This window comes from Homo sapiens, chromosome 7 (genome assembly GCF_000001405.40).
Source record: "Homo sapiens chromosome 7, GRCh38.p14 Primary Assembly".
Classification (NCBI taxonomy): domain Eukaryota; kingdom Metazoa; phylum Chordata; class Mammalia; order Primates; family Hominidae; genus Homo; species Homo sapiens.
In genome coordinates, this window is record NC_000007.14 from 127,603,196 (window position 1) to 127,628,533 (window position 25,338).

At 45.8% G+C, this 25,338-nt stretch overlaps 1 protein-coding gene across 2 annotated transcripts, besides 9 other annotated features; it reads right to left on the bottom strand.

The window, feature by feature from the left end:
- Nucleotides 6,246-6,746: an enhancer, noted in NCBI's record as "H3K4me1 hESC enhancer chr7:127249495-127249995 (GRCh37/hg19 assembly coordinates)". NCBI's record gives its function as "activates a minimal SCP1, AML or CMV promoter by ChIP-STARR-seq in primed H9 embryonic stem cells {active_cell/tissue: H9 hESC(primed)}" and the evidence as "EXISTENCE:reporter gene assay evidence [ECO:0000049][PMID:30033119]".
- On the bottom strand, nucleotides 7,097-14,947 carry PAX4 (paired box 4). Of its 2 annotated transcripts, NM_001366110.1 has the most exons (12): nucleotides 14,767-14,947; nucleotides 14,080-14,205; nucleotides 12,721-12,832; nucleotides 12,206-12,336; nucleotides 11,685-11,900; nucleotides 11,287-11,362; nucleotides 10,561-10,686; nucleotides 10,255-10,337; nucleotides 9,827-9,896; nucleotides 8,750-8,805; nucleotides 8,340-8,481; nucleotides 7,097-8,011 (listed from the first exon to the last, which is right to left on the bottom strand). In NM_001366110.1, the coding sequence occupies exons 3-12, from the start codon at nucleotides 12,731-12,733 to the stop codon at nucleotides 7,869-7,871; spliced, it is 1,056 nt and encodes a 351-aa protein (NP_001353039.1). In that variant the 5' UTR covers nucleotides 12,734-12,832; nucleotides 14,080-14,205; nucleotides 14,767-14,947; the 3' UTR covers nucleotides 7,097-7,868. The 2 variants fall into 2 exon arrangements, with proteins under 2 accessions (NP_001353039.1, NP_001353040.1); NM_001366111.1 differs by lacking the exons at nucleotides 14,080-14,205; nucleotides 14,767-14,947 and having other exon boundaries at nucleotides 7,097-7,790.
- Nucleotides 14,864-19,821: a promoter, noted in NCBI's record as "-4958 to +46 promoter fragment". NCBI's record gives the evidence for it as "EXISTENCE:reporter gene assay evidence [ECO:0000049][PMID:10967107]".
- Nucleotides 16,769-16,795: a protein binding site, noted in NCBI's record as "TAAT 3/4 probe". NCBI's record gives the evidence for it as "EXISTENCE:protein binding evidence [ECO:0000024][PMID:10967107]".
- Nucleotides 16,820-16,866: an enhancer, noted in NCBI's record as "-1960 to -1909 fragment for pancreatic enhancer". NCBI's record gives its function as "enhancer in pancreas" and the evidence as "EXISTENCE:knockout evidence [ECO:0001091][PMID:10967107]" and "EXISTENCE:reporter gene assay evidence [ECO:0000049][PMID:10967107]".
- Nucleotides 16,833-16,856: a protein binding site, noted in NCBI's record as "TAAT 1/2 probe". NCBI's record gives the evidence for it as "EXISTENCE:protein binding evidence [ECO:0000024][PMID:10967107]".
- Nucleotides 16,833-16,856: a protein binding site, noted in NCBI's record as "TAAT 1/2 probe". NCBI's record gives the evidence for it as "EXISTENCE:protein binding evidence [ECO:0000024][PMID:10967107]".
- Nucleotides 16,847-16,867: a protein binding site, noted in NCBI's record as "H4 probe". NCBI's record gives the evidence for it as "EXISTENCE:protein binding evidence [ECO:0000024][PMID:10967107]".
- Nucleotides 19,026-19,072: a protein binding site, noted in NCBI's record as "P4.2 probe". NCBI's record gives the evidence for it as "EXISTENCE:protein binding evidence [ECO:0000024][PMID:10967107]".
- Nucleotides 19,493-19,537: a protein binding site, noted in NCBI's record as "P4.1 probe". NCBI's record gives the evidence for it as "EXISTENCE:protein binding evidence [ECO:0000024][PMID:10967107]".

Genomic DNA, 25,338 nt, shown 5'->3' on the forward strand with positions numbered 1-25,338 from the left:
TGGCAGATGCCTGTAATCCCAGCTACTCGGGAGGCTGAGGTAAGAGACTCACTTGAACCCAGGAGGCGGAGGTTCCAGTGAGCTGAGATGGCGCCACTGCACTCCAACCTGGGCAAAAGAGCAAGACTCCATCTCAAAAATATACATATATATGCTAATGATCATTTGAACCTTCAGTGAGTCATAATCTTTTTGCCAGTGGAGGATCTTGCCTCAATGTTGATGGCTGCTAACTGATCAAGGTGATAGTTGCTGAAGGTTGGGGTAGCTGTGGCGATTTCTTAAAATACGACAATAAAGTTTGCTGCACTGATTGATTCTTTCTTTCACAGATGATTTCTCTGTGGTGTGTGATGCTGTTTGATAGCTTTTGACCCACAGCAGAACTTCTTAAAAAGTTGGAATCAATTCTCTCAAACCCTGTTGCTATTTTATCAATTAAGTTTATGTAATGTTCTAAATCTTCCATTGTCATTTCAGAAATGTTCACAGCATTTTCAGTAGGAGTAGATTCCATCTCAAGAAACCACTTTCTGGCCCGGCGCGGTGGCTCAGGCCTGTAATCCTAGCACTTTAGGAGGCCAAGGCGGGCGGATCATGAGATCAGGAGATCAAGACCATCCTGGCTAACACAGTGAAACCCTGTCTCTACTAAAAATACAAAAAATTAGCCAGGCATGGTGGTGGGCGCTTGTAGTCCCAGCTACTCGGGAGGCTGAGGCAGGAGAATGGCGTGAACCCGGGAGGCAGAGCTTGCAGTGAGCCAAGATCACACCACTGCACTCCAGCCTGGGCAACAGAGCAAGACTCTGTCTAAAAAAGAAAACAAAAACAAAAAACAAAAAACAAAAAAAAAACACTTTATTTGCTCTTCCATAAGAAACAACTCTTCACCAGTTCAAGTTTTATCACAAGATTATAGTAATTCAGTCTCATCTTCAGGCTCCACTTCTAATTCTAGTTCTCTTGCTATTTCACCACATCTACAGTGGTTTCCTCCAATGAAGTGTTAAATTCTTCAAACTCATCCATGAGAGTTGGAATAAACTTCTTCCAAACTCCTGTTACTATTAATATTTTGACCTTCTCCCATGAATCATGAATGTTCTTAATGGGCATCTAGAGTGGTGAATTCATTTCAGAAGGTTTTCAATTTACTTTGCTTGGATCCATCAGAGGAATCACTAATGTAAGACAGGTATAGCCTTATAAAATGTATTTCTTAAATACTAAGACTTGAAAGTCAAAATTACTCCTTGATCTGCAGGCTGCAGAATGGATGTTAGGTTAGCAGGCATGAAAACAACATGAATCTCCTTACACATCACCATCAGAGCTCTTGGGTTACCTCTCAATTAAGGCATTGTCAATGAGCAGTAATATTTTAAAATCAATATTTTTTTCTGAGCAGTAGGTCTCAATAGTGGGCTTAAAATATTCCATAAACCACGCCATGAACAGATGTGCTGTCATCCAAGATTTGTTGTTCCATTTACAGAGCACAGGCAGAGTAGATTTAGCATTATTCTTCAGGGCCCTAGGATTTTCAGAATGATAAATGAGCACTGGCTTCCACTTAAAGTCACCAGATGCAGTAGCTCCTCACAAGAGAGTCAATGACTGTCTGTTGAAACTTTGAAATCAGGCATTGACTTCTCCTGTGTAGTTATAAAAGTCTAGATGGAATCCTCTAATAGAAGCCTGTTTTATCTATATTGAAATCTGTTGTTTCGTATAGCCACCTTCATCGGTGATCTTAGCTGGATCTTCTAGATCTTGCTGCAGCTTCTATAATACATCAGCACTTGCTGCTTCACTTTGCACTTTTATGTTATGGAGATGGCTTCTTCCCTTAAGCCTCATGAACAAACCTCTGTTAGCTTCAAACTTTTCTTCTGCAGCTTCCTCATTTCTCTCAGCTTCATAGAATTGAAGAGAGTTAGGGCCTTGCTCTGGATTAGGCTTTGGCTTAAGAGAGTGTTATGGCTGGTTTGATCTATCCAGGCAACTAAAACTTTCTCCTGTCAGCAATAACACTATTTTACTTTCTTATCATTTGTAGGTTCACTGGAGTAGCCCTTTTAATTTCCTTCAAGAACTTTTCTTTTGCATTCACAATTTGCTAATAACTGTTTGGCAAAAGAGGCCTCACTTTCCACCTATCTCAGCTCTCAACAGGTCTTCCTTACTAAGCTTCATCATTTCTAGCTTTTGCTTTAAAGTGAGAGATGTGTGACTGTCCTTTCTTGAACACTAAGAGGGAATTGTAGGGTTATTCATTGGCCTAATTTCAATATTGTTGTCTTAGGGATTAGGGAGGCCTGAGGAGAGGGAGAGAGAAGTGGGAAAGGCCAGTCCGTGGAGCAGTCAGAACACACATCACATTTATCAATTAAGTTCACCATTTTATTTTATTTTATTTTAGACAAAGTCTCGCTCTGTCACCCAGACTGGAGTATAGTGGTGCAATCTCAGCTCACTGCAACCTCCGCCTCCCGGGTTCAATGGATTCTCCTGCCTCAGCATCCCAAGTAGCTGGGATTATAGGCAAGTGCCGCCACACCCAGGTAATTTTTGTATTTTTAGTAGAGACAGAGTTTCACCATGTTGGTCAGGTTGGTCTCAAACTCCGGACCTCAAGTGATCTACCTGCCTCGGCCTCCCAAAATGCTAGGATTACAGGCGTGAACCACCAAGCCCAGCCAAGTTTACCATTTTATATGGGTGTGAGTTGCAGCGCCCCAAAACAATTACAATAGTAACATCAAAGACCATTAATCACAGGTTACCATAACAGATAACAATGAAAAAGTTTGAAATACTGCAAGAATTACCAAATTACCAAAATGTGACACAGAGACAGAAAGTGAGCACGTGCTCTTAGAAAAGTGGTACCAACAGACTTGCCACAAACCTTCAATTTGTTTAAAAAAAAAAGCAGTATCTGTGAAATGCACTAAAGCAAAGTCAAAGTGCACTAAAATGAGGTGCACCTGGATAATGAAAATAAAGTGATGATATAAAATCCTAGTTAAACTTTTCTTCCCTGCCCAAGGCTCAGAGCCTGAGGTTCCTTTTCCCTTTACTAATAAAGGAGATGAACAACTTTTTTTTTTTTTTTTTTTTTTTTTTTTAGACAGAGTCTTGCTCTACTGCCCAGGCTGGAGTGCTGTGGCATGATCTGGGCTCACTACAACCTTCACCTCCCAGATTCAAGCAATTCTTCTGTCTCAGCCTCCCGAGTAGCTGGGACCACAGGCTCCTGCCACCACGCCCGGCTAATTTTTGTATTTTTAGTAGACACAGGGTTTCGCCATGTTGGCCTGGCTGGTCTCAAATTCCTGACCTCAAGTGATTGGCCGCCTCAGCCTCCCAAAGTGTTGGGATTACAGGTATGAGCCACCGCACCCGGCCAACAACTATTAAAGTGGCACCAAAGACTAGGACCAAAATGAAACTTTCTCCTTGATACAATCAGAATTGAAAGGGAGTTGAAAAGGGAATAATTTTCTCACTTCTGACTCAATATTATTTGAATCAACATACACACGCTTCCTAAAACATTCTTAAATACCAACAGTGCTGCCTATTCCCCACTTTGGAAAATTTGCCCCATACCATAATGAATGTCTGATTTTTAAATCTGTTGACAAGAGAAGGCTGAAACTGGAACATAAGAGAGATTCAGTTTGGATAGAGGAAAATGACTTTATTTTTTGTAAGTATATCACCCCTCAGGAGATATAAAATAATTTTTAAAAAATTTCAGTCCAGTAATAGGTGAGGTAAGTGAAAAGTGAGAACACTGGAGGTGAGGGCATCTCCTTTCCTAGAAAGCATTAAGAATAGGCCACTTGCTGGGTGCAGTGGCTCACGCCTGTATTCCTCGGGAGGCCGAGGCAGGAGGATCACTAGAGCCCAGGAATTTGAGACCAGCCTGGGCAACACAGTGAGACTTTGTCTCTACTAAAAATACAAAACAATTAGCTGGGCATGGTGGTGTGCACCTGTACTCCCAGCTACTTGGGAGGCTGAAGCAGAAGGATTGCTTGAGCCTGGAGGTCGAGGCTGCAGTGAGCTGAGGTTGCACCACTGCACTCCAGCCTGGGCAACAGAGAAATAACGTGTTTCAAAAAAAAAAAAGATATTGCTCTATTAACCTTGAAATTTTATATCCACATATGTGCAGTGGGATATGCTCTTCAGAGAGATAGGACCTTGGAGGTCATTTAATGCCGAATCTCTCCCTCAGTATTCTAATCCCCCAGCTACCTGCAGGGGATGCATTTAAGACTTCCAGCAGATACCTGAAACCACAGATAGTACAATATCATACATATACTCTTTTTTCCTATGCATACACACCTAGGGTAAAGTTTAATTTATAAATTAGGCACAGTGAGAAGTAAACAATACTAATAGTAAAATAGAATGATTATTACAAATGCCGCTATCGCTACTCTTGCACTTTGGGGCCATTATTAAGTAAAATAAGGGTTACTTGAACACAAGCACTGCAATGCCAAGACAGTTATCTGATAATCAAGACTACTACTGACTAGTGAGCAGGTAGCATAGACAATATGGAGATGCAAGATTTCTCAAGCTACTCAGCATGCAATTTAAAATCAATGAGTTGCTTATTTCTGGAATTTTCCATTTAATATCTTCAGGTTGCAGTTAATCACAAGTAACTGAAACCCAAAAAGCAAAACCATGGACAAAGCGGGGAATACTGCACACACTCAGGTGCATGGGCATGCATGTGTGTACGCACATGCATGCACACATGTACACACACACAGACACACACACAGACACACACACACACAATCTTATGCCCTGTTCCCCACATGGCCAACTGTCACGGGATCCTTGAGGGGTTGCTTTTCCAGCCGGAAACTTCTGTGGCTAGTGGTGCCTTTGCCTGAGTTTTGCTCAGGCTGCTGGGCTCATTCCACACACTCGGCCTAGCAGCCTGCACTCAGCTCGTGCTACTGTCCTGGATCACCTGCCAAGAGTGAGCCAGGAGTGGAGCAGTGAGGGGTGTGTGAACAAGCGGGGGGTCTAGCCACTGTGCACAGCCAGGCATGCCGGCTGTGGGGGGCAGGCAGCTCCAGGTGCTGGTACAGATGCCGGCTCTGTGCAAGGCTTCAGCAGGACCACAAGAAGCTTCCACTGCAGGTGCTGGGGAATGAAGTGGTGCCTGGAAATTTGGAGATGCCAGGAACCACAGGGCCCCAAAGAGGGTATCACAGCCCTGGCTCGGGGAACCCCTATGTCTGGGGTCCCTGAACGGCCACAGCTCTTCTCTCTTTCTCATCACCCACAACATGGTGAGTGTGTGTGTGCGAGTGTTTCAGTTCTGTTGGTGTTACAGCTCTTTCAGTCCCACCATTTGGTGGATCTGGAGTTTTTGTCCCATGTCCAGGAAGAATGAGGTATGTGGACAACTGCAGGGTGAGCAAGGCAGAGAGGAGCTTCATTGAGCAACAGAACAGCTCTCAGAAGACCGGAAGTAGGTAGGTCCTTTCTGCCGGCAGGTCATTTCAACTAGTCGAGGACACCTGAGGTGGGTAGCTCCTTCCCTTAGCTGGTAGTCCCAATGTCTGTGTGACTCTGGCTGAGTCCTGGGGTTTTTATGGGCTCAGAAGGGAGGAGTGTGTGCTAACTGGTCCATAAGTGGCCATGGGTAGGTCTGGAAAAAGCACCATCCGATTGGCCAAAGGGTCAACAATGAAGTCCTCACTCTGGGCCTCCTACTTCACCCAGAACTGGCAGCCTGGCCCCCAGGCTTCAGGCCATTCTTGGCTTAAAGGTGGGGTTTCTCTGCAGAATTGCCCCTTTCCGCCCAGGAACCTGTCTGCCTCCCACTATCAACATGCTATCCATGGCACCCAGGCTGTTTGTGCTGAGGGGTGCCTGCAGACCCACACTAAGATGCCCTCAGTCCCCTCCCTCTGGCCTTTCTCCTGCACTTGTTGGCACCCAAAGTCTGGAGGGGGCCAAGGTGGTAGGGGGGCTGGTGTGTCAGTGCCACCCAGAGCATGCACACACCCAGCCAGGTCATGACAGTGCCCAGGTGCAGCCACAACTTTATTCCACAACCGAGTGGACTCTGGGGGCAAGGAGAAGCCAGGGAGTGGGAGCAGGCACTTCTAAGCCTGTGGGGCAGGGGCTTCCTGTGCCCCTGAGAGTGCAGGGATGCCTGGGTCTGGAGCCACAGCTAGGCAGCTGCAGCTGTGTCCAGGAGCACCGCGCTCCCACCCTGCCAACTCTGTTGGGGGCGTGGCTCCTGCCTGTTCCGGGTTCCCGCTGTCCTTGCAGAGCACACAACCCCAGCCATGCCTCCCCATCTGCAGCCAGCATCTTCACAGCAGCAGCTCAAGATGGGTTGCCACTACCACCACAACCATGAGGCCTCAGCTGAGACAGCTCCTTTCTGTTCTGCCTAGCAGGACCTCCAGCTTGAAAGTATAGAAGGCAAGGCAGGGGCAAGATGTGCTCTATTACCCTTGAAATTTCATTCTAGAGCTGTGCAGTCCCATAGAACTTTCTGCAATGACTGAAATGCTCGATAGTCCTTACAAGCCACATGTAACTACTGAGCATTTGAAATGTGGCTAATGTGAGTGAAGAACTGCATTCTTCTTTTTTTTTTAATGTGAATTACATTTAAATAGTCACATGTGGTTGGTGGCTACTTATTTAACAGCACAGTTCAGCACAGCACAGTATTTGATAATGAAGAGGCCTCTTGAATGACGTCTTCTGGATCAGTACCTATCCCAGATAGGAGTAAACAATGCCCCCACCTCCCCGCCCGCCGACCAGCATTGCACCATCATTATCCATCGCCTGACTTTCAAAAGGGAAAGAATTTGGAAGGATGAGCCTATCCTCCTTGCTGAATATCCGATTCTTCACCGCCTTTCCCCCATATTCCTCCCTTTCTCCACATCCTGAGACTTCTCAGGAAGGGCCTAGACCTTTATTTGAAGGGACAGAATTGAGAAGGTTTGGAACTTACTGCCAAAAGGACCAAGCAAACATGCCCCTGGAGCATGTATAAATAAAGCACATATAAATGGAAAGCAGAATATGAAAAATGGCATTTCACTCTGTTTGCTGCTATGACAAAAATACATATGCAAATACAAAATACATATGCAAATACAAAATACATATGACAAAATACATATGACAAAAATACATAATTTTCTTAGATTAAGAAGTTACAGTAAATTTTCTTAGATGTGGATATATTATTGTGATTATGTAAGACAAGTTTCTTGTTTTTTGGGGATGCATGCTGGAAGATTTAGGAATAAAATGCCATGATATAATGTCAGTGTGTGTGTGTGTGTGTGTGTGTGCGCGCACGCATGCACGCATACATAATACACATATAGATGCATACATAGAGTAGGTAAATTGATGCATTGACAAATACATTGTTTAGATACATGTATTGCCTACATACATGCATAGATTAGATGGTAGATACATAGATGTAAATAAATGATAGGGCAAATTGTCTATAATTGTTGAATATTAGAGTGGGCATAGGGGTGCTCATAGGGAAAACATGATGGACAACAGAACTACTGCTAATAAAAACAGCTTTTATTACTGCTGAGTGGAGGCCTCTTAAGGCTAGTGTGAGAAGTGGGTGGGTGTTGCTTTACCAGCCCCTCCAATCAGGTGATGCGCCAGAGAGGCATCGAGGCAGGGCCAGGCAACGTCCACACAGGAGGGAGCAATCACAGGAAGGAGGAAGGAGCCACAGTCTGTATGGGCAGGACGGTAAGGACAATGGGCAGGATGGTATTAGATCTTCTCTATGCCATCTCCTTCCCACTCCTGCCTCATTCCAAGCCATACAGTAGTGGGCAGCCAGGCCAGAGCAGGGCCTGAGAGCCACTAAGACTGGCCAGGTGACAGTGGGAGGAAGGGCAAGGAAGGCAAAGCAGTCCTGAGTCCAGGGAATTCGGCTGTGGGGGCAAGTGGCCTGTGGGGACAAATAGAGAGAGCTTGGGGTTATTGCTCCCACCCCACCTCTCAAAGTCACTATGGGAGAGAGGCTGAGACATCAGTTTCCCACCCTGCATATACACACTTGAATCCCAGTCTCACATCCTTTACCTGCTATGGCTGTCAGTGATACCATAGACTCAGGGGTTACTAGTCTCCGTAATTTTGTGGACCATGCAAAGAATGAGGAAAGCTGTATTGAGATTCCTTTGATGACCCCCAATGGAGATCCATGCCCTCCTGGAGGTTGAGTCAGTCGACCCTCCCTACATCCTGCAGGACTGAGGCCTGGCCTGAATTCTTACCCCAGCAGGGCTTGAGACAGGCTTTAGGTGGGGTGTCACTCAGACACCTTTCTGGTGCTGTTGCCCAGCACAGCTGATAGCAGGAGGGACCCAGTGGTTCCAGGGCAGGCAGGGCTGCTGTGGGCACACTGCCAGGGGACTGCTAAAAAAAAAAAGCAAGAGAAGAACCTTAGCTTCCAGTGATGCCTCCTGTAGAGAACGCCGGGACCCCAGAGCTGCCTGCCACCCAAGTAGTATCCTGCACAACTCCAGAGGGCACCATTCACATAGTAGACTTTGGGTTAGTACTTTCTTGACATGAACACTGTGGGGCCCTGGAGAGCCGGAGATCCTGGCTCAGGCCAGAAATGGAAGAGCCCATGAGCCCTTCAGTCTTCCCAGGGCACAGACTCCCCTCTCCTCCCGAGTACCTGTGCAGAGATGATTCCTGGGGCAACCCTTGGTACAGTCAGCCCCTGGGAAGCACCTATAAAATGAGAGTGAATCCACTCAGAAGGAGGAATTGGGGTTAGGGACGGGAGGAGTGTGGTGAGAGGCAGGAAGGTTGGATACAAAGAGGTTCTAGGAAAGTCAGCCACTTCTTGCAGGGGTGTGAAGAGATGGATATTTTAACCCAAAACTGTCCTCTTCCCCAAGACAGGTCCTTGGGAAACTGGAGAAGAATGATTAAATTCCAGTGATGGTACTGGGGACAGTGCAGCCTTAAGATCCGGGACTGTGTGTGCCCAGCATCTAGCACAGGGTCTGGCACTGGGGAGATGCTGAGTAAATATTGGATGGATGGGTGGATGGATGCACAGATTAATGGAAAGATGGATGGATGGATGGATGCATGGGTGCATGGGTGGCTGGATGGATGCATGGGCGGATGCATGGGTGGATGGATGGATGAATGCATGAGCAGATGCATGGATGGATGCATGAATGAATGGGTGGATGGATGGATGGATGGATGGATGGATGGATGGATGGATGGATAAATGGATAGGTAGATAGGTGGGTGAGCAGATGGGTGGGTGACTGGCTGGCTGGATGGATGGATAGATGGGTGGATGGATAAATGGATGGATGGAGAGATGGATGCATGGATAGATGGGTGGATAAATGGGTAGCTGGGTGGATGGGTGGGTGTGGTGGGTGGATGATGCCTGGATGAATGGATGGATGGATAGATGAATGGATGAATGGATGGATGGATACATGGGTGGATGGATAAATGGATGGATGAATGGAGGATGGATGGATTGATGCATGGATAGATGGGTGGATAAATGGGTAGCTGGGTGGATGGGTGGGTGTGGTGGGTGGATGATGAATGGATGAATGGATGGATGGATAGATGAATGGATGAATGGATGGATGGATACATGGGTGGATGGATAAATGGATGGACGAATGGAGGATGGATGGATGGATGGATGGATGGATGGATGGATGGATGGATAGATGACTGAGCGGGCAGATGGATGATGGTGCAGAGAAATCACCTGGCAGCTGCATTTCCCACTTGAGCTTCTCTTGCCGACGCCATTTGGCTCTTCTGTTGGAAAACCAGACCTGAGCGAGGACAGGGACAATGCAGCTGGCTGTACTTTATGCTGCCTGTCACCTGCTGATCTCACCACATGTTCCTAGCCTGAACTCAGAATGTTGACCCTTCCTTGGGCCTGACATCCTCCCTCCCTGCTCTAGCTTTTGCTCTCTGGCCCCTTCCTCAACTCAAAGGTTTGGGTTGGGGAAGAGAGGAGAGCAGTCAGCAGAAGGTGAACAAGGAGGATCTCATCTCTGATTGTTGCTCCAAACAAATTTGCTTCCAATTTCTCACCTCCCCTCTCCACCTCATTGGAACCCAAAGCCCTGGCCGGCCCAGACTCTTCCTCCTTGTGGTTTGTACAGTGTTGCAGAGCTCACTCACCCTCACCGTGTCCTCAGGCAGAGAGGTGGCAGTAGCCAGCTTTCCACGGGCCACTGAATCAGGATACTGCCCACGCTGGAACTCTGCGGAGATCGAGTCTCACAAAGTAAGGGCACCGGGAGAGGAGCAAGGCATGGGTCTCCCCTTAGGCAACACTCCCCACCTGCTACAACCCCAAACTACCTTCCTCCTCAAGGCAGGGCCACTCACACCTGCACCTCTCAGCCTTTGCCCACAGGCCTCAGGGCCACTGTCCCTGTGTCACACTGAGGACTCTCTGACCCTCCATCTGTCCCAGCCCAGCACCTTTCTCCAGTGCCTCTGCTTGGCTTGGGGAGAAGATAGTCCGATTCCGGTGGCCGGTCCCTGGGTGGGTACCCCGGGGAGTCTCAGAGCCACTATGGGGAGTGAGGACAGCTGGAGCCAAAACAGCTGAAAAGGAAGATAACAGTTTGTGGTGGTTTGTGATGGTGATTCCTCTGGTCAGATGGGGTCCCTGAGTCTCTGGGGCTGCAGCCGGGAGACACCATGGGTAGAAGAGCAGAGCCAAGCTGGTGGGGCATTCATAGTTATTAGAGGTCACTGCAGGGTCACTTGGTGGAAAGGGTGCTCAATACCATGGTGGGGTGCATGCTTAATGTGCAAGAGTTTGGAGGGACAAGCAGTAGGCTTGGTCCAGGGGTGTGTTATCCCAAAGAACATGAATGATGCTCTAAGAAGCTATGCATGGGGCAGAGGGAGGGTATGAGATGCAGTCCTGCCTCTTCTTCAATAGATCCTGTGAACCCAGGGGCTAGGGGACCTGTGTTCTGTTCCAGGGCCTGCCATCAACTAGGTGGTGACCTTGGGTAAGTCACTTCACTTTTCTGGACCTCAATTTTCTTCTGCTGGGAGAGAATGAGACTCCCTGCCCAGTCCTCCTTATTGGGTTGTTGTGAGGGTGATCCAAGAAAGAACGAGAAAGGGCTTTGAGAACTATAAAATGCTAGAGATTTGGCTGTGATTAGCCCTGGGGACAACTCCAAGACCCACCTGGTGACCTGAGCCGTGTGCACGGTAGTCCCTGGTCCTCCTGTAATGCCCGCAGGACTCGGTTGATGGAGGAGACCTGGGAGTGTCAGGGTGTTGAGTGGAGAGATGGTGCTCAGACTCAGGGCTATACCCTGAGGATGTTGCCCTTAATATCCTTTTTCCCATCTGTCTCCACCTACACATTGTTCCCAAGGGCAGCCTCCTCTCTCTCTCTCTATGCTTTCTCCTTCCCAATCCTCTTATTACCACCACTTTTCAAAAGAAAAACTTATGGGTCAGAATTGCCCAGGAGCCCTGTCACCAGCTTGGGATGCCCACATTGCCAAATAAGAAAGGTTCTTTGTCTCCCCCAGAAAGCCTCTTTTCCAGCCCCAGTGTGGGGAGGGAAGGGTACTTACACTGGGAGTCTTGTCCTGGGTGCAAAGCCCTTCAGCACAAAGCTGGCGTTGGATTTCCCAGGCAAAGAGGGCTGGACACTCACCCTTCAGCTGGGCAATTCGAGCCACCACAGGGGGTGTAGCCAGCCGTGGCTTGCTTCCCCCAATGCCCTTTGGCTCCAAGACACCTGTGCGGTAGTAACGCCCTAGGATCTTGCTCACACAGCCATTAGATACCTGAGTCAGGTGAGAAGCAGGGACAGGTGAGGCATGATGGGCAGAAGGAAGGAGAGTGTCCCTGGGACAGGAGGAGGCTATAAGACAAAGCCAAGACTTACTGGACCAGGCCATGAAGTCGGGAGTCCAGCCTCACCTTTGAGGGCCTGAGGCTCCCCTTTTCAACCTCCGAGAGGATCTCCCAGGAAGTGACCCAAGTCCCAGAAGCCCTCAGAGCCTGCAACAGCCCCAGGCTCTTGCCTTCAGAGGAGCCCTTTCTCCCTGCTTCCTGTCCCCATCACTGGGTAAAGGTGCTGGCCCATTACCTTAAGGATCCGTGAGATGTCACAGGGCCGCATTCCACTGACTGCTAGCCGCACAATCTGCTGCCGGGTATCCAGAGGCAGGGGCCGGCCATTCACAAAGAGCCCCCCAAGCTGGTTCATGCTGCTGATCCCTGGGCGTGAGACAGAGGTATCCACACACCACCTCTCCCACTGCCCTGCCCGCCTGTGGAGAGGGTCACTCAGGCCCCTCCAGCCTGGCTTCCCACCACCGAGTGCATCCTCTCCTGGGAGACTGCATCCTTGCTGCCCCCAGGCTGTCAACGCAAGCTGCTTTCTTTGAGAGCTGGCTCACGGGTGAGTCTTTGTTCCTTGCCCATACCCGCCAACTCTCCTGATCTAAGGGAAGCAGGACAGGGCAGGAAGGGAGGGACTGGAAAAAGCTTCCCCAGAACATTGGCCAATAGCAGATGAAACAGTTGATGGAAGCAAAGCCCTGAGGTCTTCCCCTGTCTCTGTTGTCCTCCCTGTCTTCCCACTTCCCCCAGGCTCCTCACCGTCCTGATGCATGCTCCAGGCTGACCCTCCTCAGAAGGATGAGACTCCAGCTGGGAAGGCTGGGAAGGGAAGTTCCTTCTAGGAGCTCCTTTTCCAGCTTGGGGGCTGGCTCTGCAATAATGGGGGGTTATTTGGGTGAGGTCTTTTGCTTGAAATGGTCCTGGGAGGTAGTGTTTTGTGATAGAGGGTCAGGTTCCTAAAATTTGCCAGTGGGTTGGCTAAAATCAGAAAATTCTAATTCCTTTTATTTAAACCTTTGTGTGATAAAAACTAAAACACTGCAGGTTGGCTGAGGACTGGATCTTTCTTGAAGTCCTGATAAGGGGCTGGGAGGATTGAGAGGGTTCTCCTTTCCTACACATTCATTAGAAAAGTTTGGGGAGGTAGAAAGGGATAATGCTTTCAAATGCTCAAGCTTTCCCCTTTCCAAATGGACAGCTGTTGTCTCCAGCTGCTCCTAAGCCTTCTCAGCCCTGGAAGACACACCCGAGCCAGAGATTCTGGGGTCCTCAAGTTCAGGGGTCCACCTTCACTATTAGGCAGTCCTCGGTTGGGCTCTCCAAACTGCCACCCAAATGCTGCACTTCAGAAAGGCTTGCTCCTGTTTTTTTATACTCTCCAGGAAGCTCTAGGGAAACTGGGACTCAGCTCTAACCCACCAGGCATTGAGGCTCTGGTCCTACACACTGGGCATAGAGATGAACACGCCTGAAGAGCCGGCTTCTCCTAGGAGACGCATCTCTTAGCATCTCTAACCTGCTGAGATTGTTCATTCTGTTCATTCTCTGAAGAGTTCTAGATCTCACAGTGAAGCTTCAATTTCAGAGACGATGTTTCTGGTATCAGACACTCATTCATTCAACTAACATTTATCAAAGGCATATTGAAGGGAATGAGAAGCAGGAGAAGACTGTCCGCTGAGCAACATAGAAACCGTCATGAGCCCAAGCGAGTCTCTGAGCAGCAAGGGACACAGGTCCCACAGGCCACCATACCTCTTCTACTTTCATTAGTAATCAATGGGAGTTGAAGATGCCTCCTTTCATGCCTGGAACCCTGGTAGTGCTGGAGATCACCCCAAGGAACAGCTTATGCACAGAACTTTCTTATAATAAGCGTGCCATCTGGGCTTAGTTAATTCATCTGCAGTTGTATGCTGAATAAGATATTAAGCATGAGCACATTGCTGGTTGTTCAGGATGAAGGCAGTAAACAGAAAAGGGTAAAGTCTTTGCTCTCCAACACATTACAGAGCAACTGGAGAAAAGAGACTAGCACCAGTGAAACAAAGAATTACAAAGAGTTTGGAATCCAGAGTCTACTTATTAAGTTCAGTCGCTAAATTGGCTTTTACTCACTTGTTTCTAGGTAGGTAGAGGCACAGACCCCTTCAAATTCTCATCTTTCCAAAAAGTCGGGAAAGAAGGCAGAGGTTTTCCAAAGAGAAAACTGAGGCACAGATTGGCATTGCCACAAGTCAGGGGCTGTCCAGAGAGTAAAATTCAAGGTTTAGAAGCCAGTTCCTCATCAGAAGCTACAATTTCTGGCTCCTAATCCTGGGCTCTCTTTCTCTGCTCCCACCCCTGTTTCATGTTTGTGTAATTGCCACAAAAACAATGGAGAGAGGAGAATCAAGCAGGGACTGTAAAGGGCTGTGCCAAGACAGGGTGAAGGAGCTCAAAATATCAGCCAAACCCTAAATCCTTGATGGGACTCAGTTCTCCTAAGTGACCAGAATTCAAAAGAGCAGTAGGGATGCAGGTTCAGTATCCAAACCTAAATAATCTCCAAACCTAAATCATTATGCCCCAACTCACAAACAGAAACCCCATTCCCAATAGCCACAACACACATTCCCAACATTCATATTAACATGTCTGAAAAAATAACTGGTGCTTGCAAGATGGAAAAACAGGAAAGGGGGTGGAAGGGGCAGGAGGGTTGTAGCTGCAAAGGCAGAGTGGGAGAGAAGTTGGGTTTGGCCACACAGAGGCATGGAGACAGCATGAGAGGCAGGGCAGACAATGAGCCTGCAGGTGAGCTACCTGTGTGGAGGAAATGAGGTGGGAGCTTCAGTGGGAGGTCTCAGCTTCTGAGACCCCTGCAGGCTCCAGGGGTGGTGATGATCTGGTCTTGGTAACAGCCTCCACTCTGCTCCTGCTTCAGTCCTGCCAGGGGGTCCAGAGCTATAGAGAGCCCGTGCTCAAGAGCAGAGGGCAGCCTTCTGGGAGTAGCCAGTGATGTCACAGGCCATGAGCAGAGGAGAGAGGAGGAGGGAGGTGTGCATGGGCTGACTGACACCAGCCCTGAGGCAGGGCAAACCACAGCCAATGACCCACTGTGTCCTTCCATGGGGAATCCTCAGAGCCCACTTTGTGTCCACCTACCACCCGGAAGCAGGGACAGAGCCATTCTCAGACAGGCAAAAGTGTACCCACACAAGCACCAGTACTCCTGAAGGGCATGCTGAGCATGGAAGATGGGGAACTTCAGGTTGTGTTCTTAAGGCTTTGAATACACAGAAGCAAAAAGATGCCTTCCCGAACCACCAACACAGCTTCCCAGCCAGAATGCACATACATGGGCTTTGGGGTCAACTCCTGAGTCGTGTGTGTTGCTATAAAAGATAAATGAGTATACAGACTGTTGCCTAAATACTGACTGAGTTGGCTCCTAGCACTCTGAGATAATGAGAGTGAATGGAGAAGAGTGTGAAGAGTGTGTGTCACCTAGCACCAGCTGTCCCCAGAGAGTGTCCTAACCAATTCTCCAATTGACTCCTTGACTGAGGTGACACCAAGGGTGAATTCTTGCCTGGAAATGGAAGGATCCTGGACTTCAGAACACTGACAATGGTAGTGGTGGTGGAAATGAGCCTCAGGATAGTCAGAGATGCATGTGGGTGTTTATAAGGAGGCTTGCAGCAGGATTTTCCTTCTTCCATCTTTAGATGTTAGCAGGCTCCATTCTGTTAGGGATTTGATGCTTTTAGACTCTAAGTTAGTAATGGCACTGCTGTTTCCACAAAAGACACCACAGGTTATCTGGGTCATTGGCGAGGTCAGAGGTATCAGTAGCTGGGCAGGTGGTGCCTGTGGAGTGGGATGCTGAAAGTGAAACACAGCCTCTAGTGCATGTAAATTTTGTTGCCAGTCATCAGGGTCTTGGGCAGATGGTCTTTGGGTCCATTCCACACCTCAGAGTCTGTGAAACCATTGCAAAAGTTAGACTGGAAGTAAGCAGGGTGTAGGGCAATAAGACTAGTCCCAGAAATCAGAGAATGGAAGACGTATGTCATTGGTAAATGTTTTGAGGTTTTGGGGGTGAAAGTGGTTGTTGTGCATTCAGCTTGATCCTAGGGTTGGGAACTCTTGCTCTCAAAGGCCAAATATCACATAAGTGAGTTTTCCACTTTACCCTGATACATACTCTCTTCCTCTTCCACCCTCCTCCAGCATCCTCAGACTGGTCTTGGGGTACAGGGGAGACTGCAGAGGGTGATTTCAGGACCTCGGGCAGGATAGCATTTGCCCAAGTGTCCTTACAGCCCATTCCATCCCCGGGGCAGCTGGGGACTGCTGGTCACTCTACTTAGCCATGCTTGGGTGGGAGGAGGTCCCCAGTAAGGCCTGTGGTAGCCCTGCTCCTAGTCCCCCATTCCTGCCTCATCCCTCCCCGCTAGATCTGCCCCTGCGTCTAGGGGCTCAAGGCTTATGTCCTGACCAGCTATTCCTATAGACAGCTGCATGAGGGTGGAGATAGGGGTATCAGGGGGAGCAGGGACAAGCCCTAGCAGATGGTGGTGGCAGCGATTTACCCCATAAACTACCCTCTCCCTCCGCCTTTATGACGCGCTCTTGGGTCTGAACAAACAGAGGCTTTCGACCCAGAGGTGATGGGGGAGGGAAAAGTGGTAAAGGGCCCTGGCAGGGGGGCCTAGAGAGCCCAAAGGCTCTGCCACTCAGCCCTCTGCCCAGCGCGCTAGACTGTTTGAGGAGCAAATATCTGCCTTCACTGTCTGACTCTCTCAGCCACCCCCACCGGGTTTGGGGCTAATTGTCCCTCATTAGCTGGGCCCAGGCCCCGGGCTGCCGCCAGCCCCCGCCATCTGCTCACAATTATACATTAACTCAAAGGTCTTGCCACCCGCCAACAAGCTGTGCGCCCCTCTCCGGGGCCAGCCATGGCCATTCCAGCCTGTCCCTCGCCCTGATGTAGAGCCCTGATCTCCGGCTTCTTCTGCCCTTAGGAGTCCCTGGTAGAAAGGCCCGTGTCTGTAGGGAAGTCTTGTCCTCAGGAAAGGCGGCTGGAGTTCCCCTGCCTTCCTCAAGGGACCAGAGGGCGAGCCAAGCCCGTGCGTAAAGCTGGAGAGGACTGGGCGCGGCCAGCGCAGAGACCCGCTGGCGTTGGTCTGACACCTCGTCTTGGGCTCTTGACACCTGCTGTGGGAGGTAACACCAGCTCTAGGCTGTTTCCACCCCTCCCTATGGTGCATTTTCGTAGGCTGTGGGGTCCTGGGCCCCTTCTTCTCTTTCTCCGGAAAGCCCCATCTCCTGCCAGCCCTCAGCTTTCCAGAGCGCACGCGCCACCTGTCCAAAACCGTTCTCTGGCGGCCTGTGCCTCCCACTTTAAAGTCAAAGTGATTTCCTTGCTACAAAAACACGGAGGCTATTCGAGTTCCCTGAAAATTCTGAACTTGAGACCCTCACGCCAAAGTTGCGCTACCCCCGCAAAGCTTTATGCAGTTACCCTACTCTCCCAGCCCAGCCCCTGCTCTGACACCAAAACCCCCTCCCTGCAAATCCCTGCAGTCTCCTGCTCAGCTTCTGGGACGCTGGCACCCGGATCCCTCCCTCTGAACGCCCCAGGGAGGGAGGAAGGCGCACACCCTCCCAACTGTGACTTTGAACTGGGGGCACGGAAGAGCCCTCCCTTTTCCCCTCTTTTTCACCATGAGCTTCTAACCTCTGAGCTCAACCTTGCCTCATATTTCTCTCAGGGGTAGGGTAGATGAGGCGGGATGTTGAGTCTGCACTTCCCCAGACTAACTCCCAACAGAGCTGGGTTGTTCAGGGGCTAGAGCCTAGGGCCTAAGGCGACCAGGAGGAAGCCTGTGGGGGATGTGAAAGGCAAGCCTCTGCCAGCCCTTGGAGAGTTCCTCCTCGGGTCTGCCTGTGCACCAAACCTGCCACTGTGGGGAAGGTGCTGCTTCAGGGCTGCGGTGTTCACACCCACGCTGATAACTGGAAACTGGAAACCTGAAGTTCGTCTTTTCCATGAGATCTGCCAGCTCTGCGCTCCCAGAAGCTTTCCTCACCCCACTGGGCCCCACTTCGCATGGGGTGGAAGATCTGGGGAGGCAGCTGCAGTTTGTTTTTCTTTCATTTTCTTTCTTTCTTCTTTTTCTTTTCTTTTCTTTTCTTTTTTTTTTTTTTTTAAAGACCTCTATGGTTTGACTCCGGGATGTTTGTTTTTAAGTAAACATTATTTCAATGAATCTTATTTTTTAGGACAGTTTTAGATTTACAGAGACACTTCAAACATAGTACAGACAGTTCCCATATGACCCACACTGCATTCCCTTCATTATTAATGTCTTACATTGGTATGGTACATTTATTATAACTAATAATGGTAAATATGTTATTATTACCTAAAGCCCATACTATCTTCAGATTTTCTCAGTTTTACCTGAATGGTCTTTTTCTATTGCAGGATCCCATCCAGGAGCCCACTTTCCATTAACCATCATGTCTGTGGCTCCTCTTGGCTGTGACAGTTTCTCAGACTTTGCTTGTTTTTGATGACTTGGACAGTTTTGAGAAGTTAGGTATTTTGTGGAATGTCCCTCAACGGGGATATATGCTTTTCTCATGATTAGGCTGGGGTTATGGATTTGGAAGAAGAAGACTAAAGAGGTAAAGTACCATTTTCATCACATCATACCTGGGCTTTGGGGTCAACTCCTGAGTCGTCAAATCATGTTAAGGGTATATACTGTCAACATGGTGTATCTATCACTGTTGATGGTGACCTTGAGCACCTGGCTAAGGTAGTGTTTTTCAGATCTGTCCACTAACATTACAATGCCTCCCTTTCCTAATGGTACTTTTCTGAAGGAAGTCATTGTGCACAACTTAATGAGTGAGGAGTTATGCTCCACTTACTTGAGAGTGGAGTGTCTGCATAAATCATTTGGATTTTTTCCGCTGGAGCAATCTCTTTTTTTTTCTCCCATTTATTTATATCAATATGGACTTATTTTATTCTAAAGAAATGTGTTTTATTTTGGGGTGTTATAATACAATACATTATTTTGTTGATCAAATTATTCCACCTTTGACAATTGGGAACCCTTTCAGTTGACTCCTGTGTCCTTTGGCATGCCCCCATTATTGTAGGGTTTGGATTTTTTTGTTTCTTGAGTTTGGGGTCTTTTGGGGATTTTTTTTTGTACTTCTTTACTTTCTGCAACTGCAAGATGCTCCAGGTTATCTTGTATATTCCCTGACCCAGTCCTAGAATCAACCATTTCTCCAAGGAGCCCTGGTTCCTTCTATTGAAGAATGGTATGAGAAACCAAGATCTGGACCCTAGATATGCTTGTTGCTACTGGGATTTTAGTGCTTCTCTGTTCTCTCAGTTGACCGAGCAAAGAAATATATGTGTGTATACTGACCCATGTATATACACGTATCTTTAATATTTCTATATGTAACCACTTGTATCTAAATTAAACTATTCATGAGTTCATACTGATGTCTCCAACTCTAATCCATTATTACATGGATCATTCCGGTTTCCACCCTGCTTATCTTTAAGCTCTCACTCCAACAGTGAGACACCTGGCTCCCATAATCCACCATCTATTACTTAAGTGCCCAATTCCAGCATCTATTATTGCGGCATCTGAATTGTTAACACAAACCATACAGAAAAATGAAACAACTTTATCAACTGGAGTACAATGCTTTTGTACAATTTATTTTACCTTAAATTTACAGACTCTGTTCATTCCCAAAGTTACTTAAATCAGTAAATTTACCCCCACTCCCTTCAATTAGGTGGTTTCATATACCTGTAATACAGTTAGATTATTTTGTCACATTCTGCATTCTATTTTAGGATCCCCTCACCTTCGACATGACTTTTAAAAATTTGCATACATTAAGGTAAACCCTTTGTGCTGTAAAGTTCTATAGTTTTTGACAAATGCATAATGTTATGTATCCACTGCTACAGTATCGTAACAGAATAGTTTCACCATTGTAAGAAACCCTGATGCTTCACCTGGTAACCATTGATCTTTTTACCATTGCTGATTTTTTTGTTTTTTGGGGGTTTTTTTTGCCTTTTCCAGGATGTCATATAATGGAATTAGAGAGCATATAGCATTTCCAGACTGGCTTCTTTCACTTAGCAATATGTGTTTAAGTTTTATCCATGTCTACTCATGGCTTGAGAGCTCATTTCTTTTTAGTACTGAGTAATGTTTTATTGTATGGACGTACCACAGTTTATCCACTCACCTATTGAAGGACGCCTTGGTTGCTTCCAAGTTCTGGCAATTATAAATAAGGCTACTATAAACATTTATGTGCAAGTGTGCAAGTTTTTGTGTGAACATAAATTTTCAACCCATTCAATTAAATACAAAGGAGCACAATGGGTTGTATGGTAAGACTATGTTTAGCTTTGTTAAAAAAAAAAAAAAAACTGCCAAACTGTTTTGCAAAGTGACTGCATCATTTTGCATTCTTAGCAACATGGATGATAGTTCCTGTCACTTTGCATCCTTGCCAGCAATTGGTTTTGCCAGTTTTTTGTATTTCAGCTATCCTAAAAGATATAATGGAATTTCATTGTTGTTTTAATTTGTAATTCTCTAACAAAAAATGATTTTGGGCATCTTTCCGTATGCTTATTTGCCATTTGTACACATTCTCTGCTGAAGTTTCAGTTCAGACATTTAACCCATTTTTGTTTGTTTGTTTTTAAGAGATGGAGTCTTACTATGTTGTCCAGGTTGGATTCAAACTTCTGGGCTCAAGTGATCCTCCCACCTCAGCCTCGCAGGTAGCTGGGATTACAAGCATACATACTCCACTGTGCCCAGCTTTGCCCACTTTTTTTTTTTTTTTTTAGATGGAGTCTCACTCTGTCGCCCAGGCTGGAGTGCAGTGGTGCGATCTTCGCTCACTGCAAGCTCCACCTCCTGGGTTCACGCCATTCTTTTGCCTCAGTCTCCCGAGTAGCTGGGACTACAGGTGTCCACCACCACGCCCAGCTAATTTTTTGTATTTTTAGTACAAACCGGGTTTCACCATGTTAGCCAGAACGGTCTCGATCTCCTGACATCGTGATCCGCCTGCCTTGGCCTCCCAAAGTGCTGGGATTACAGGCATGAGCCACCACGCCCTGCCTGCTCACTTTTTAATTGGATTTTTTTTATTGTTGAGTTTTAAGAGTTCTTTGTATATTTTGGATACAAGTCCTTTATCAGATATATGTTTTGCAAATATTTTCTCCAAGTCTGTGGTTTGTCTTTTGATTTTCTTAACAATGTTTTTTGCAGAGCAGAAAATTTTAATTTTAATAAAATCCAGTTTATCAATTATTTCCATGATCATGCTTTCGGTTTACATCTAAAAACTCATCACCAAATCTGAGGTCATCTATATTTTCTTCTGTGTTCCCTTCTAGAAGTTTTAAAGTTTTGCAGTTTACATCTAGATTTATAAACCATTTTGAGTTAATTTTATGAAATGTGTAAGATCTGCGTCTAAGTTCATTTTTTAGCATATTTCCAATTGTTGAACATTTGTTGAAAAGACCACCCTTTCTCCATTGAATTGCCTTTGCACCTTTATCAAAGATTAACTGGCTGTATTTGTGTGGATCAATTTCTGGTCTCTCTATTCTGTTCCTTTGATCTATGTGTCTGTTCTTTCACCAACACCATACTGTCTTGATTACATAGCTTTATAGTAAGTCCTGAAATTGGGTAAAGTGAGTCCTCTAACTTTATTCTTCTTCCACATTGTATTGGAATCTGTGTCCTTGCCTTTTCATATAAACTTTAGAATCAATTTGTCAAGATCTATAAATTAGTTTGCTGGGATTTTGATAGAGATTTCATTGAGTCTATAGATCAAGTTGGGAGGAATTGACATTTTAATAATATTGAGTTTTCCAATCCATGAACATGAACTATCTCTTCATTTATTTAGATCTTCTTTTATTTCATCAGAGTTTTATAGTTTTCCCCATAAAGATCCTGTATATATTTTGTTAGATTTATATCTAAGTATTTTACTTTTTTGGTGCTTCATTTTGGTAAATGCTATCATTTAAAAAATTCTAATTCCACTTGTTTATTGCTGGTATAAAGGAAAGCAACTGGCTTTTATGAATTATCCTTGTATCCTGAGAAGTACTATTAATTAATTCCTGGAGGTTTTTGTTTGGTTGGTTGGTTCTTTGGAATTTTACATATAAACAATCATGTCTTCTGTCAACAAAGACAGTTGTATTTCTTCCTTCCCAATCTATGTATCTTTCATTTCCCTTTCTTGTCTTATTGCACCAGCTGGGACTTCCAGTATGATGTTGAATAGGAGTGGTGAGAGAGAACATCTTTTCCTTGTTCTCAATCTTGGGTAAATGTCCAGTTACTCACCATCAAGTATGATGCTAGCTTTAGTTTAGTTTTTTTTTTATCTTCTGGAAATTTTATTCTGCTCATTGCTTATTTCAAACTTATAATTGTGCTATAATGCATTTTATTCTTTATTCTTTCTCTTATTTACTTTATTTTTATTTTGCCTATTTCTGTTTTTTATTTTTCAATTATTCATCTTTTTTGGTTTTTTATTTTTTTTTATTTCTTTTTTATTTTTTGTAGAGATGGGGGTCTCACTATATTGATCAGGCTTGCCTCGAACTGCTGGCCTCAAGTGATCTTCCTGCATCAACCTCCCAAAGTGTTGAGATTACAGGCCTAAGCCACTACACCCTGCTTATAATGCACTTTAATATAATAGCTGGAAGAGCTAGTACCCTTTTCATTACTCTTTATTCAGAACTTTTCTTATTCGTCCGCTCAAGTTTATTTTTCAGTTGAGCAATAGTATCATTTTGTCAAATTAAAAATTTTGAGCCAGGTGCAGTGACTCACACCTGTAATCCTAGCAATTTGGGAGGCCAAGGTAGGTGGATCACTTGAGCCCAGGAGTTAAAGACCAGCCTGGGCAACATGGCAAACCCCATCTCTACAAAAAAAGAAAAAAAAATAGCCGGGCGTGGTGGAGCCTGCCTGTAGTCCCAGCTACTCAGGAGGCTGAGGTGGGAAGATCACTTGAGCCCCAGAGGTTGAGGCTGCAGTGAGCCATCATCATGCCACTGCACTCCAGCCTGGGCAACAGGATGAGACTCTGTCTCAAAAAAAAAAAAAAAAAAAAAAAAAAAAAATTGGATGTATAATATTAATTTAGAGAGAAATGTTGTCTTCACAATATCAAGTCTTCCTGTCCAAGGCAATATGTATTTTTTAATAGACTTTACTTTTTAGAGCAGTTTTAGGTTCACAACAAAATTAAACACAAGGTGCAGAGATTTCCCATATACCTTTGTCCCACACATGCATAGCTCCCCCTGTTATCGATATCCCCAACCAGGGTAGAGTGGTACATTTGTTATAACTGATGAACCTAAGCTGTGCAATTTTTGTAGATTTCTTTATCAAATTGAGGAAGTTCTCCTCCATTCCTGGTTTGCTGAGCATTTTTATCGTGAGTGGGTATTGGATTTTGTTAAATGCTTTTTTTAAGTCAGCTGATATGATTACATGATTTTTTTCTTCTTTAGCTTGTTGATGTGGTGAATTACACTGAATGGTTTTTAATGTGGAACTAGCTTTGCAAACCTGAAATAAATCCCACTTGGTCATGGTGTATAATTCTTTTTATACAGTGTTGGATTTGATACGCTAATATTTTGTTGAGAATTTTTGCATCTAGGTTCATGAGCAATGTTGGTCTATGTTTTCCTTTCTTGCAATGTCTTTATCTCTTGGTATAAGGGTGACATTGGCCTCATAAAACAAGTTAGGAAGTGTTTCCTCAGCTAGCCAGCTTTGAGGGTGAGGATTTATCAAGCAGACGTAACTCAGGCTGAGAGACACATGAAGTTCATCTCCTATAACAGCATCTAGGACAGTATGGCTCAGTAATTAACAGTGGGAATTGTAGAGGCATCAAACCTCAGTTCCTATCCCAGGCCTGTCATGCCATCTGCATGATCTTGGATCAGTTAACTGTTAATTCAACAAATAATTATTGAACATGTGCCAGGCACTGGGATAACTGCAGTGAATAAAAAGGGCAGAATTCTCTGCCCTCTTGGAGCCTGCATCCTTTTTTAAGCTTACATTTTAAAACCTTCTGTGCTTCATTTTTCTGCATGTATAAAATAAAAATATCAATAGTAGCTACATCATAGGATTGTTGTGACTATTATATAAATTAACAAATGTAGAACATTCTATATAAGTGTTTTATATTATTACTATTAACACTACTATTGTGCACTAACAGTTAATATTATTATCTATTGACTGAGTTCAGTAGTTATAGTCTAGGAGATTCCCAGGCCATCCTCCCTGCTGTAACTCTGTGCTCCCATTATTTCTGTCTCTCTGCTTCTTCAGTTGGCCTTTTTTATCTTTGGGATCACTAGCCTATTATATGAAACTCCTTCTCTGGCCTAGATTTATCTTGCCTAGGAGATAGTTGGGTGGCTATCTTTCTGCTGCTTTTGAAAACTACCAAAACTTTGCCAGGCGTGGTGGCTCATTCCCATAATCCCAGCATTTGAAGAGGCTGTGGCAGAAGGATTGTTTGAGGGCAGGAGTTTGAGACCAGCCTGGACAACATAGTTTTTTGGTAGAGATCCCCATCTCAAAAGAGAGAGAGAGAGAAAGAGAAAGAGAGAAAGGAAAGGAAAGGAAAGGAAAGGAAAGGAAAGGAAGAAAAAGAAAGAAGAAAGAAAGAAAGAGAGAGAGAGAGAGAGAGAAAGAAAGAAAGAAAGAAAGAAAGAAAGAAAGAAAGAAAGAAAGAAAGAAAGAAAGAAAGGAAGAAAAGAAAAGAAGGAAAAAGAAACACAACAAAAAACCCCTGATAATTGTAATACCAGCAGCCTGGCAGACCGGCTGCATTGGCATCACCCTGGACTAATTAGAAATGCCATAAAAGCTTGACCCATCCCCAGATCAGGAAGACAGATTTAAGCATTAGCCTCCTGTCTCCTTGCCAGTCTACTTGCAGTAAAGCTTTCTTAAAAATGGCTGGGTGCAGTGGCTCATGCCTGCAATCCCAGCACTTTAGGAGGCTGAAGCCAGAGGATCACTTGAGCCCAGGAGTACAAGACCAGCCTGGGCAACAACATAGTGGAGGCTGAGGAGGTAGGATTCCTTGGGCCTGGGAAGTCGAGGCTACAGTGAGCAATGCTTGCACCACTGAACTCTAGCCTGGATGACAGAGTGAGATCCTGTCTCTAAAAAAATAAAAAGAAAAGAAAAATACCCAAACTTTTGCATTTTTTAAAGGGAGGGGGATAGG

Excerpts from the sequence above, each read along its gene's own strand:
- PAX4 (NM_001366110.1), bottom strand. Across the intron at positions 10,687-11,286 it reads CACACGGCTCAGGTCACCAG|CTGTTTTGGCTCCAGCTGTC; the intron begins GTGGGTCTTGGA and ends CTTCCTTTTCAG. Across the intron at positions 8,806-9,826 it reads GTGGGAAATGCAGCTGCCAG|GTGCTTCCCAGGGGCTGACT; the intron begins GTGATTTCTCTG and ends CTCATTTTATAG.